We start from the raw sequence: 12,988 nt of genomic DNA on the forward strand, positions 1-12,988 counted from the left end.
TCTTTTCTTTTTTCCTTTTTTTTTTTTTTTTTTTTGAGATGGAGTTTTGCTCTTATTGCCTAGGCTGGAGTGCAATGGCGCGATCTCGGCTCACCGCAACTTCTGCCTCCTGGGTTCAAGCGATTCTCCTGCCTCAGCCTCCCGAGTAGCTGGGATTACAGGCATATGCTACCATGCCCAGCTAATGTTGTATTTTTAGTAAAGACAGGGTTTCACTATGTTGGCCAGGCTGGTCTCGAACTCCTGACCTCAGGCAATCCACCCACCTCAGCCTCCAAAGTGCTGGGATCACAGGCATGAGCCACCGTGCCGGGTCTGAAGAGTTTTTCAGATTGATTTAATCATAAGACCCCTACCCTCTGTTTCTGTGGCCCATCTAATGGGCAGAGAGTCCCTCTGGATGTGCTGGGAGAGCTCTGTCACTGGACTTTTTGGGCTAATGAAGGAGCTAGGGTGATGGCCTCTGACAGTCCTCGAGGTCAGCCTCATTAGTGGCCCTTAGGAAAAGGCAAAGCGTTTCCAGCACATCCCCTATTGGTGGACAGGGGACATGAGGCCTGCAAGTCCCTTGCTCTGAGGGTTACTGGCTCCACCCCTGTGAGATTAGAGGCTCCTCCTCTCAGGGCTCACCCCTTCCACGGTGACTGTTTCACCTCCACTCACCCCTGAACCCCCACCCCTCAAGCCCTCCCTAACTTTGGCTGCTGCCCACTAATCTAATCCCTACTTCAACCCAGCCTCTTACTGTCTGCTTCCCTCAACTCACCAGCCTAGGCATATTCCAACATTTTTACTTGTAAACCACCTAAAAGAAATTTGGAAAGTTATGTCTCCCCTTGATACTCTAAGTTATCTGATGGTTTTCATCATAAACATAAATTATTGCAAAAGTTACAATTTCTTTCTTTTTTTTTTTTTTTGAGGCAGAGTTTCGCTCTGTCACCCAGACTGGAGTGAAGTGGCACAATCTCAGCTCACTGCAACCTCTGCCTCCTGGGTTCAAGCAATTCTCCTACCTCAGCCTCCTGAGTAGCTGGGATTACAGGCGCGAGCCACCATGCCCGGCTAATTTTTGTATTTTTAGTAGAGACGGGGTTTCACCATGTTGACCAGGCTGGTCTCGAACTCCTGACCTCATAATCCACCCGCCTCGGCCTCCCGAAGTGCTGGGATTACAGGTGTGAGCCACTGCACCTGGCCCACTAGTGATGATTATTACTAGCACCTCCTCAAAGGCCTTTCCTGACCTCCCACCCCACCATCCACTTCATCACTGTTGACTGTTTCTGTCAGAGTCCTGCTATGATCTGCATTAGTCTTGGTTATTTACGCCTGTGTTGTAGGGCCTGGACTGGGGAAGGGAAATGAGATGAGTTGCACAGGGTTGGCTCTTGTCTTTATTCAAGAGTTTGATTTTTTTTTTTTTTTTTTTTGAGACAGGGTCTTGTTCTGTCACCCTGGCTGGAGTACAGTGGTGCCATCTTAGCCCACTGCAGCCTTAACCTTTTGAGCTCAAGTGATCCTCCCGCCTCAGCTTCCTAGTAGCTAGGACCACAAGTGCACACCACCACGCCTGGCTAATATTTTGTATTTTTAGTATAGACAGAGTCTCACCATGTTGGCCAGGCTAGTCTTGAACTCCTGAGCTTAAGCGATCCCAAAGTGCTGGGATTACAGGTGTGAGCCACTGTGCCTGGCCTGAAGTTTGATATTTCGTTAGTGGATATTTTTGCATTAGTTTTGATCGTTTTTTTTTTTTGAGATGGAGTTTTGCTCTTGTTGCCCAGGCTGGAGTGCAATGGCGCGATCTCGGCTCACCACACCCTCCGCCTCCCAGGTTCAAGCAATTCTCCCGCCTCAGCCTCCCGAGTAGCTGGGATTACAGGCATGCACCATCACACCTGGCTGATTTTTTTTTGTATTTTTAGTAGAGACGGGCTTCTCCATGTTGGTCAGGCTGGTCTCAAACTCCCAATCTCAGGTGATCCGCCCACCTCGGCCTCCCAAAGTGCTGGGATTACAGGTGTGAGCCACCACTCCCAGCCTAGTTTTGATCTTTTAAAAAAAAAAAATTATTTTTTCCTTTTGAGATAGAATTTCGCTCTTGTTGCCTAGGCTGGAGTGCAATGGCATAATCTCGGCTTGCCGCAACCTGGAGTGAGAGAAATAAAATATTATTTCTCTTGGTTACTTAGTTCTTTTGGCAGCCCCAGGAATTTCATGTCCAAGACGAGTACCTCACTCACTTGCCCTAGTCCTGGCCCTGGTTTCTGGGTTCTCAGCTGGAGTCATAGAGTTATCATGCAGGGGCTCCACGCACTGTTATAAATGAAGGACCATGTGACTGACAATCTGGCATCTTCACTAGCAAGAGCAGGCCCTGTCAGCCGCCTCTCCTTTTCTGTGTCTGCTTCTCTGCTATAGCACCTTGTCCTTGGACACTCCGGGGAAGAGGTGTGACCCACACTCTGGCAGACCCTCAGCTTGGGCTGGGCCAGCCTGCTCTCATGGAACTAGAATGCAGCCTCTGTCCCTGTCCCTGCCCTGGTCTCCTCATGTGTGGGCTCCTTCCCCCTCAGGGCAAGGTAAGGCATGACAACAGCTGAGTTCCTTTCTACCTTGTACCTGTCCCAGACCCCTGGCCTAGGCCTGGACACTGAGGAGACTCTCACTAAATGCTTGCCCACCTCATCCTCCCCTCACCCTTCTCTACCTCCCACCTTGATTCCTCAGAGGAGGAGGGAAAGGGGGCGGGAGAGGGGAAGTGATAAGAGAAGTGATGGCAACAGCTGTCATTTACCCAGGGCTTGCTATGGGCCAGGGACTTTACAGACAGGGTCTTAAGTTTGACATCACCCCAGGAAGTAGGTCCTACTATTATCCCCATTTTACGAATGAGAAAACTGAGGCATGGAAAAGTTAGGTGACTTGTCCAAGCTTACGTAACCAAAAAGTAGTGTTACTAGGCAGAACTGGCTATATAATTTGTGGGACCCATTGCAAAATGAAAATGTGGGGCTCAAAAACTATTAATAATTTCAAGACCGGGACAGCAGAGTATTAATGCAAGTGTAGGGCCCCTGTGTGATTGTATAGGTCCCCACTGGTGAAGCCAGTCCTGGTGGTAGAATGTGAACCTAGAATTCTGACTCCAGAATCCACAACTCTACTTTTGGGGAGAGTAATAGTGATCACTGTGATCACCAAGCACCTGCTATATGCATTGTGCAAAATCTTTTTTTTTTTTTTTTTTGAGATGGAGTTTTGCTCTTGTCGCCCAGGCTGGAGTGCAATGGCACAGTCTCAGTTCACCGCAATCTCTGCCTCCTGGGTTCAAGCTATTCTCCTGCCTCAGCCTCCCAAGTAGCTGGGATTACAGGCATGTGCCACCACACCCGGCTAATTTTGTATTTTTAGTAGAGATGGGCTTTCTCCATGTGGTCAGGCTGGTCTCGAACTCCCGACCTCAGGTGATCTGCCCGCCTCAGCCTCCCAAAGTGCTGGGATTACAGGTGTAAGCCACCAGGCCAGGCTGATTGTGAAAAATCTTAAAAACCTTTACAACAACTCAGCAAGGGCTAGGCATTGTTACCACCCACCCCCCCTTTTTTTATTTTGAGATGGAGTTTCACCCTTGTTGACTGGGCTAGAGTGCAGTGGTGTGATCTCGGCTCACTGCAACCTCCACCTCCCAGGTTCAAGCAATTCTCCTGCCTCAGCCTCCTGAGTAGCCCAAGGTGCCTGCCATCATGCCTGGCTGATTTTTGTATTTTTAGTAGAGACAGTGTTTCAATATGTTGGCCAGGCTGGTCTTGAACTCCTGACCTCAGGTGATCTGCCTGCCTGTGCCTGCCATAGTGCTGGGATTATGGGCATGAGCCACCGCATCCAGCCTGTTACCCCACTCTTAAGAGTGAGGAAACCAAGCTTTAGAGAAGGTGAGTTACTCACCTAGTGTTCCCAGTGGGGTCAGGATTTGAACACCAGATGAATTCCAGAGCCTGTGTTGTTCTCACCGTATCAGACAGCCTCTGTCTGTAAGGATCACAAAGGCAGGAACTAAAACAGGGCTGGGCATGACTTAGACAATCTCTTAGGAACTTTGTTTTCCGGGCCCATCGCTGGGGGTCAAGGCATCGCTTTGCTCATGATGGAAAGGTGTCCCAGGTCTGCAAGTACTTCCAGCAAGGCTTCTGCTTCCCTGGACATCGTGGAGATCAATGCAGGTAAGTCCCTCTTCTTCCCCTCTGGGGAGTGGTGTTAGGGTGGGACACTAGAGAGATCGTCCCTTCACAAATCATGTATCTTCCCAGAGCTGCTTCTCCCAACTCAGCTCCAAGTTCTAGGCTGAGCTGGCTCTGAGCCCCGGAGGGCTGTCCCTGTCTCCTCACTCTCTTCTTCCCCACTACAGCTGTCAGCACCCAAAGACCCCCAGCCCCCTGGAGTGGGGTCGCCGCCATTCGGAGCCACATGTCACTCTGCCAGGGCCCCACCTAGGACTGGCCCGCAGGGGATCCGAGCCCACCTACCTGCCCTCTGTGGCTGTGGGCTGGGGCTGGGCCAGGGCCTGCTGGGGCATGGAGCCTGCCCTGGAGGGGCTGGCTAGCAAGGCTGAGGAGGTTGGCGGCAGCTCCTGGAAGTCCCTGCCTTCATCATGTGAGTCATCAGGGGCACCGCAGGTGGGCATAAGTGGGCACTGACACTAGAGCTCGTGCTCTGCCTCTGAGCAGGGTTTATGTTTTCATCCATTCCCCTTCCTCTTCAAGATTCCCAGCTGGAGGGAAATTTTCCTCTAGTTCTGTTGCTTTGTGTGTTCTAAAAGCAGAATACCATGGTACCAACAGAGTAAAACCCCCTAGTTCCAAATGCCCTATCCCTATACCCAGTAGCTGTGTGATCTTGGACAAGTCACTTAACCTCTCTGGGCCTTGGTTCCCTCATCTACAAAACGGCATTGATAATAATACTTAACTCACAGGCTTATTTTGAGGGTTGATATGCTTAGCACAGTACCTGGTACAGAGTATGCACTAAATGTTAGTGGCTATTTTTTATTTTATTTATTTATTTATTTGAGACAGGGTCTCCCTCTGTCACCCAGGCTAGAGTACAGTGACGCTATCTCAGCTCACTGCAACCTCCGCCTCCAGGGTTCAAGCGATTCTCCTGCCTCAGCCTCCCGAGTAGCTGAGATTACAGGCATGCACCACCATGCCCAGCTAATTTTTGTATTTTTAATAGAGACGAGGTTTCACTGTGTTGGTCAGGCTCATCTCGAACTCCTGACCTCGTGATCCGCCTGACTTGGCCTCCCAAAGTGCTGGGATTACAGGCGTGAGCCACCGTGCCCGGCCTGGCTATTTTTTAAATTATTGCTCTAAATCAATGTTATTCAGAATATAAAGAAATTTAAGTCACATATGTAATTTTTTATAACAGCTTTATTGAAATATTCACAAACCAAAAAATTCATCAATTTATACAATTCAATGCGTTAATTCACAAAGTTATGCAAACATCACTGCTACCCAATTTTAGAACATTTTTATCATCCCATTAGCAGTCAGTTTCATCCTCCCCGCTCCCAGCCTCTAGTATCCACTAATCCACATTCTGTCTCTGTGGTTTGGCTGTTCTGGACTTTTCATATGAACGGAATCTTACAATATGTGGCCTTTTGTGTCTGGCTGCTTTCATTGAGTGTGAAGTTTTCTAGGTTCGTCCATGTTGTAGCACGTATCAGTACTTCATCTTTTTTTTTTTTTTTTTTTTTTGAGACTGAGTCTCACTCTGTCGCCCAGACTGGAGTGCAGTGGCACAATCTCGGCTCACTGCAAGCTCCGCCTTCTGGGTTCATGCCATTCTCCTGCCTCAGCCTCCCGAGTAGCTGGGACCACAGGCGCCCACCACCACACCTGGCTCATTTTTTTTGTATTTTTTTAGTAGAAACGGGGTTTCACCATGTTAGCCAGGATGGTCTTGATCTCCTGACCTCGTGATCCGCCCGCGTCGGCCTCCCAAAGTACTGGGATTACAGGCATGACCCACTGCGCCTGGCCTATTTTTTATTTTTGATAGAGACAGAGTTTGCCATGTTGTCCAGGCTGGTCTCCAGCTCCTGAGCTCAAGTGATCTACCCACCTTAGCCTCCCAAAGTTTTGGGATTACAGGCGTGAGCTACCGCGCCTGGCCCTATTTTCTACTTATAGCAGGTGTCAACTCAGACTTGCCCCATTTCAGTTGCTCAAGAGCCGCATATGGCTCTTGGTTACTGTATTGAACAGCACTCTTCTAAATGGCTATAGGAGAGGCTTCTTTTTTTTTTGAGTCAGAGTCTCGTTCTGTCTCCCAGGCTGGAGTGCAGTGGCACGATCTTGGCTCACTGCAACCTCCGCCTCCTGGTTCAAGCGATTCTTCTGCCTCAGCCTCCTGAGTAGCTGGGACTATAGGCACATGCCATCACGACTGGCTAATTTTTGAATTTTTAGTAGAGACAGGGTTTCACCATATTGGCCAGGCTGGTCTCGAACTCCTGGCCTCGTGATCTGCCTGCCTTGGCCTCCCAAAGTGCTGGGATTACAGTCTGTTTTTTTTGTTTTTGAAATGAAGTCTCCCTCTGTTGCCCAGGCTAGAGTGCAATGGCATGATCTCAGCTCACTGCAACCTCCGCCTCCTGGGTTCAGGCGATTCTCCTGCCTCAGCCTCCTGAGTAGCTGAGATTACAGGCACTCGCCACCACACCTGGCTAATTTCTGTATTTTTACTAGAGATGGTTTCGCCATGTTGGCCAGGCTGGTCTTGAACTCCTGACCTCAGGTGATCCACCCACCTCGGCCTCCCAAAGTGCTGAGATTACAGGTATGAGCCACCGAGCCTGGCCTATATGAGAGGCTTCTAATTCTGACTGGTCTCTAATCCACTTGGGGGCAGGACGTGGGTTACCACAGAGTCTTGCATGCAGGAAATGCTCAGTGGTTGCCTCAGGGGTGAGTGAATGGATGCAGTTTTCCCAACAGCTGCTGACAGGGATCACGGCCACTCCCAGGAGTCTCTGCCAAAGTTCCACCTTGTCCGAGAGCTCATGGCGCCACTTCAGAGCCTGGACCTTGAGGTGCAGCAGGTTGTGGGTGAGGGGTGGCAAAAGATGGCTTTCTGGCCCTCTGGGACACCCAGATCTGCTGGGGGAGGGCTTGGTGGCCACTGAGGCTGAATGTGGGCATGCGGGTGGAGTGTCTGACCCTACCTGTGGCTGCCTGGGAAGCAGGACAGTCGGGATGTGGTGTGTGGCATCTGCATGGACAAAGTGTGGGACAAGCCAGAGGCCCAGCGGGTCTTCGGCATCCTGCCCAACTGCACCCATGCCCACTGTCTGGGCTGCCTGCGCACCTGGCGGAAGAACCGGCAGGACTTCCCGCTGGATGTCATCAAGTCAGTGTCATGGGGGTCCCAACAGGGATGGAGGGAAACACCCCAGTGAGGAGGCTGGCCTGGGGGCCTGTGACTATTCTCCCACATTCTACTCCACTGCTCAGGGCGTGTCCACAGTGCCGTGTCCATTCCAGCTACATCATCCCCCACAAGTTCTGGGTGAGCAAGGGGGCCCAGAAGGAGCAACTCATCAGGAACTTCAAGGCTCGGACCAGGTGAGGCTGCAGAGGGAACGAGACTCAGGGTTAGGGAAGTGGAGAAGGTAGCCCCTGATTCATTCTGGTTCAGCCATGGTTCCCAGCCAGTGAATCCCCAAAGCCCTGAAGTTTAGAGTGACCAAAATGGCAGGTGAAGGCATGAACTATTTTCATGATTTCAGAAAGCCCAGTTAATAAGGCCAGGCATGGTAGCTCACACCTGTAATCCCAGCACTTTGGGAGGCCAAGGCGGGCAGATCACCTGAGGTCAGGAGTTCAAGACCACCTGACCAACATGGTGAAACCCCGTCTCTACTAAAAATACAAAAATTAGCCAGACGTGATTGCAGGCGCCTGTAATCCCAGCTACTCGGGAGGCTGAGACAGGAGAATCGCTTGAACCCTGGAGGTGGAGGTTGCAGTGAGCTGAGATTGTGCCACTGCACTCCAGCCTGGGCAACAAGAGTGAAACTCTGTCTCAAAAAAAAGGAAAGAAAGCCCACTTAATAAACGGAGAGTGGCTGAGATAGCAGAAGGAACACCAGGGCCAATTTTCTCTTCTAACTTGGCTCAGAATCAACTTAGAGCAACTCTGGTTCTCTCTGCACCATGAGAAGCCTTGCTTTGGCTTTTATTTCCAATTTGTCATAAGGCAGGAAAGTAAACTGATATGAATACATGTTATTTGCTTAGCTGCTCTTTGAAAACATGGGGTGGCTGAGAAGGGGGCTGAAAGGCAGCCTTATTGGATAGGTCTGAATCTCTTGGGGAGGGTAAGCACTTATTCAAAATCTGGAATTAGCTGCAATTCCAAGTTCCTAACTCCACCTTCCCAAAGGGTTTACTACACTTGATCTATGCAAAGTGTATTTGGGTAAAGGGAGGGATAAAGAAGGAGGCCTCGTCTTCACCCAGGAGATAGTCAGGCGTGTTCTGGAGACACCTGTGAACGCTAATAGCTGCATCAACAAAATTACTGAAGGAAACACTAACTCGAGTGACTCTTACAGAAGGGGAAGTATTTAAGCTGTGCATGGGAAGAACAGGGTTCCTCAGGAGGAGAAAAAAGAGGGTGTCCCAGGCAAAGAGAGATGGAAGTGAGGAAATACAGTTGACCCTTGAACAACTTAGGGGTTAGGGGCACCGAACCCCATGCAATCGAAAATCCATATAGAATGTTGTTGTTGCTGTTGTTGTTGTTGAGACAGAGCCTCGCTCTGTTGCCCAGGCTGGAGTGCAGTGGTGCAATCTCGGCTCACTGCAGCCTCAGCCTCCTGGCTCAAGCAATCCTCCCCAGTAGCTGGTACTATAGGCGCGCACCACCATGCCTGGCTAATTTTTGTATTTTTTGTAGAGACAGGGTTTTGCCATGTTTCCCAGGCTGGTCTTGAACTGCTGAGGTCAAACGATCCACCCGCCTCAGCCTCCCAAAGTGCTGGGATGACAGGCGTGAGCCACCACACCTGGCCATGTATAACTTTTGACTCCCCCAAAACTTAACTAATAACATGCCGCTGACCAGAACCCTTTCGGACAACATAAAGTCAATTAATACAGATTTTATATGTTATATGTATTATATAACATAATATGTATTCTTACAATAAAGTGAGCTAGAGAAAAGAAACGTTAAAATCATAAAGGAGAAAATATATTTACTATTCATTAGGTGAAAGCAGATTACCATAAACGACTTGATCCTCATTGTCTTCACATTGAGTAGAAGGACGAAGAGGAGGGAATTGGTTTTGCTGTCTCCAGGATCTTGTCTGCGTATAAGCTGCCCCAGGCAATTCAAGCCTGTGTTGTTCAACAGCAACTGTACTGGCAGCTGGGCCACCAGTTGGAAGTTTCCCAAGGGGAGCGCTCAGGACTGGATGTGATAGGAGATGGTGTAGATGGAGGTTTATTGTGTGACAGGCTTTGTATCTCGTAAACTGCATGAGGCAGGGACTCTTACTATCCTCATACTGTAGAAGAAGAAACTGAGGGGCTGGGCACGGTGGCTCACACCTGTAATCCCAGCACTTTGGGAGGCTGACGGGGAGGAACTCTTGAGCCCAGGAGTTGAGACCAGCCTGGGCAACATGGTGAAGCCCCATCTCTACAAAAAATATAAAAATTAGCCAGGCATGATGGCACACGCGTGCAGTCCCAGCTACTCAAGAGGCTGAGGCAGGAGGATCACCTGAGCCCCAGGAGGTCAAGGCTGCAGTGAGCGTAATCATGCCATTGCACTCCAACCTGGGTGACAGAGCAAGAACCCTGTCTCAAAAAAAAAAAAAAAAAAAAACAAAAAGGCCGGGCACGGTGGCTCACACCTGTAATCCCAGCACTTTGGGAGGGCAAGGTGGGTGGATTATCTGAGGTCAGGAGTTTGAGACCAGCCTGAGCAACATGGTGAAAACCCGTCTCTACTAAAAATACAAAAAAATTAGATGGGCGTGGTGGTGGGTGCCTGTAATCCTAGCTACTTGGGAGGCTGAGGCAGGAGAATCGCCTGAACTTGGGAGATGGAGGTTTCAGTGAGCCCAGATCATGATACTGCACTCCAACCTGGGCAACAAATGTGAAACTCCATCTCAAAAACAAAAAAAAGTCTGGTATAGTGGTTCACACCTGTAATCCCAGCACTTTGGGAGGCTGAGGTGGTTGGATAACCTGAGGTCAGGAGTTCAAGACCAGCCTGGCCAATTTTGTGAAACCCCACCTCTACTAAAAATATGAAAATTAGCTGCACGTGGTGGCATGCACCTGTAGTCCCAGCTACTCGGGAGGCTGAGACAGGAGAATTGCTTGAACCCCAGAGGTGGGTGTTGCAATGAGCCGAGATTGCACCACTGCACTCCAGCCTGGGTGACAGAGCAAGACTCCATCTCAAACAAACAAACAAACAAAAAACCCAAAAAACAAACAAAATAAACCAGAAAAATGAAAGGAGGTTCCCAGGGCCGCTGCTGTTGCTGGCTCAGAGACTGAGAAGTACAGAAAGGGGCCCCTTAAGATACTTTACTGCCATCTGCTGGAAGATAGAATAAATGTAAAAGCTACACTATGATGCTAGTGGTGTCCGCTTAGATGCGGGGCTTTGGTGCTGTGTACAACCTGCCCAACCTTATGTGTCAGCCTTGAGTGCCCCTTGTTCTTGGGGTAACAGGTTTTGAAGGTGATGGTCGTCGTCTTCTCTCTCATAGCCAGATCCGATGCCGGTTCTTCGTGCGAGGGAATGGCCGCTGCCCCTTCAAATCTGAGTGTATCTACCTGCACCAGCTCCCAGCTAAGGCTGGGACCTCCGGTCCTCCCTGGCCTGAGAGAGTGCAACTGGCCTCTGGGAGTGAGGTGGTAACCGCAGGGGTATGGGGCAGGGGAGGCTGCTGGTCATGGCTTATAATAAATGTTTGTGATAAATATGAAACCTATGGATGGTATCTATGATGCTAATATGGTGCCTACTTAGATGTGGCACCTTTGTGCTATGTACAATCTGCCCAACCTTATATGTGAGTCTTGAGTTCCTCCATTCCTGAGGCAACCAGTGTTGAAGTTGATGGGTTTTCACTGATTTTTCTCTCTACTCCCAGGTGCTGGGCCCAGCATTGTTCCTAAGGGGTGCTGAGCCAGAGGACAATGTGCTCTTCACAGACGGTGCCCTGGCCATGACCTTCTGGGGTTCAGAACTCCTGCAGGACCCCAACAGTTCTTACCATGGCCTTCTGTAATCAGGATCAACTTGAGGAAAATTGGGGTGAGGGGAAGGAGTTTCTAGGTGGTAGGTCTTTCCCTTTTAGGGTTTGGTGGGGGGGCAAAAGTAGCAAGCCCTCCACCCCCATGAACTGCAGCAGTGACACAGCTGGGGACATGGAGGAATGGGGGAGGGCTCCTGGAATGAGGAAGGTTCAAACCCTCTTGCCAGGGCCTTGGTTTTTAACTTTGCTCTTTTGTAGAATGACTCTGAAAGAAAACCAATAAAATGCACCTAAGTTATCATTGCTGGTGTCTGAAGAGTGGTCCGCTCATAGCCCAGCCCCACTGCCAAGTGCAATAAGGCTGCTTCTGCATTCAATCTGTTGCAATATTACTTGTCACTTAGCTTCTGGAAAACTTCACAGTGCATTTTTGCATTATGAAAATAGTAATAACCTCATGAATCTTGTGAAAGGGACTCGGGGATCCACCAGGGTCCTTGAGCCATGTTTAGAACTTTTCCTCCCTGTTCCCTTTCAGGTGGCCAGAATACAGACCTTGGTGGGTGGGAGCCACAGCCACTCAGAGTAAAGCTGTAGGTGAGGATGCACAGGGCATTGCAGGCTTTTTAGCATTCTTGGCCCTGCCTGCTATTCATCAGGTCCCACTCCTCTAACAGCTTGTCATTCGAAGACCCAAAACATCCCCTGTAAAGTTAGAGCTGCTTACCTGAAACAGAAGGTGTCTGGAAGAAACTTCTTTCTTGCTATTTTGGCATTTGCAAAGCAGCCATTATCTAAGAAATATCACTAGTCTTTCCCGACATCTCCCTTGAAATCATTTTGGCTCAAATGGAGATCAGATCAAGCTCAAGATACTCCCATGGCTTTCCATACTATTCAGAGTGAAAGCCCAACTCCTTTCTGTGACCTCAGGCCTCTTAAGATCTGACCTGGTTCCCACTCTGATCTCAACTCCTATTACTATCCAGCAAGTGCCCTCCGTTCCAGCCATGCTTTTGCCCCAGAGCCCCCCCGCCCTCCACAGGGAGGACTGAAATGGTCTTCTCACAGACTTCTATCTGGCTTGCCAACCTCATCTTCACATTCATCTTGCCTGACCACCCTATTTAAAAGCACTTCGTGCTGTGTGTCGGTGTTATGTTCTTTTTGAACACATCACAAACATTGTTTAATTAGCTTTCCGTCTCTCCCCAGTTGTGTGACAATGAGGGCCAGGATCTTTGTTTTGTTCCCAGTATCCCCAGTCCCTAGGTGCTCAGTAAACATTTCCTGAATGAAGGGCTGTGTGTGGCAGCAGAGCTGGGACAGGAAATACAAGCTAGCCCCCAAAGCAAGGTTTAGGAGGCACTGTGGGGCTCTTCTCGCTTATTTCCTACGCTTTGCAGTGATCCCACCCTTGGCTGGAAGCCAAGTTCTCCAGCGGACTTCCTTAAACTGAACCCTAGGAAGTGGAGCCACACCTGGCCCCCTATAAACGACCCAGAGCAAGGTTACTGCTTGGTCTTTGGGAGGAAGTTCAGAAGAAAGTCTTTGGCCGTATTAATAGTGTTAGGTTTTACTGTGACCATGTCATTCTCAGGGATGTTTGTATATCAAATACTATTTCTGGAGAGGACTGAAACCCAAATGATAGCACTTTTGGCCTGTGGAAGAGAT

The 12,988-nt window shown here is 49.5% G+C and overlaps 1 pseudogene, besides 1 other annotated feature; it reads left to right on the forward strand.

Annotated features, from left to right (window-relative positions):
• Positions 406–700: an enhancer, noted in NCBI's record as "tiled region #9405; K562 Activating DNase unmatched - State 8:EnhW". NCBI's record gives its function as "activates a minimal TATA promoter and a strong SV40 promoter by Sharpr-MPRA in K562 cells {active_cell/tissue: K562}" and the evidence as "EXISTENCE:reporter gene assay evidence [ECO:0000049][PMID:27701403]".
• Positions 7,264–10,919, forward strand: MKRN6P (makorin ring finger protein 6, pseudogene; annotated as a pseudogene).

The sequence above is a fragment of the Homo sapiens genome, chromosome 6 (assembly GCF_000001405.40).
Source record: "Homo sapiens chromosome 6, GRCh38.p14 Primary Assembly".
Taxonomy (NCBI): Eukaryota; Metazoa; Chordata; class Mammalia; order Primates; family Hominidae; genus Homo; species Homo sapiens.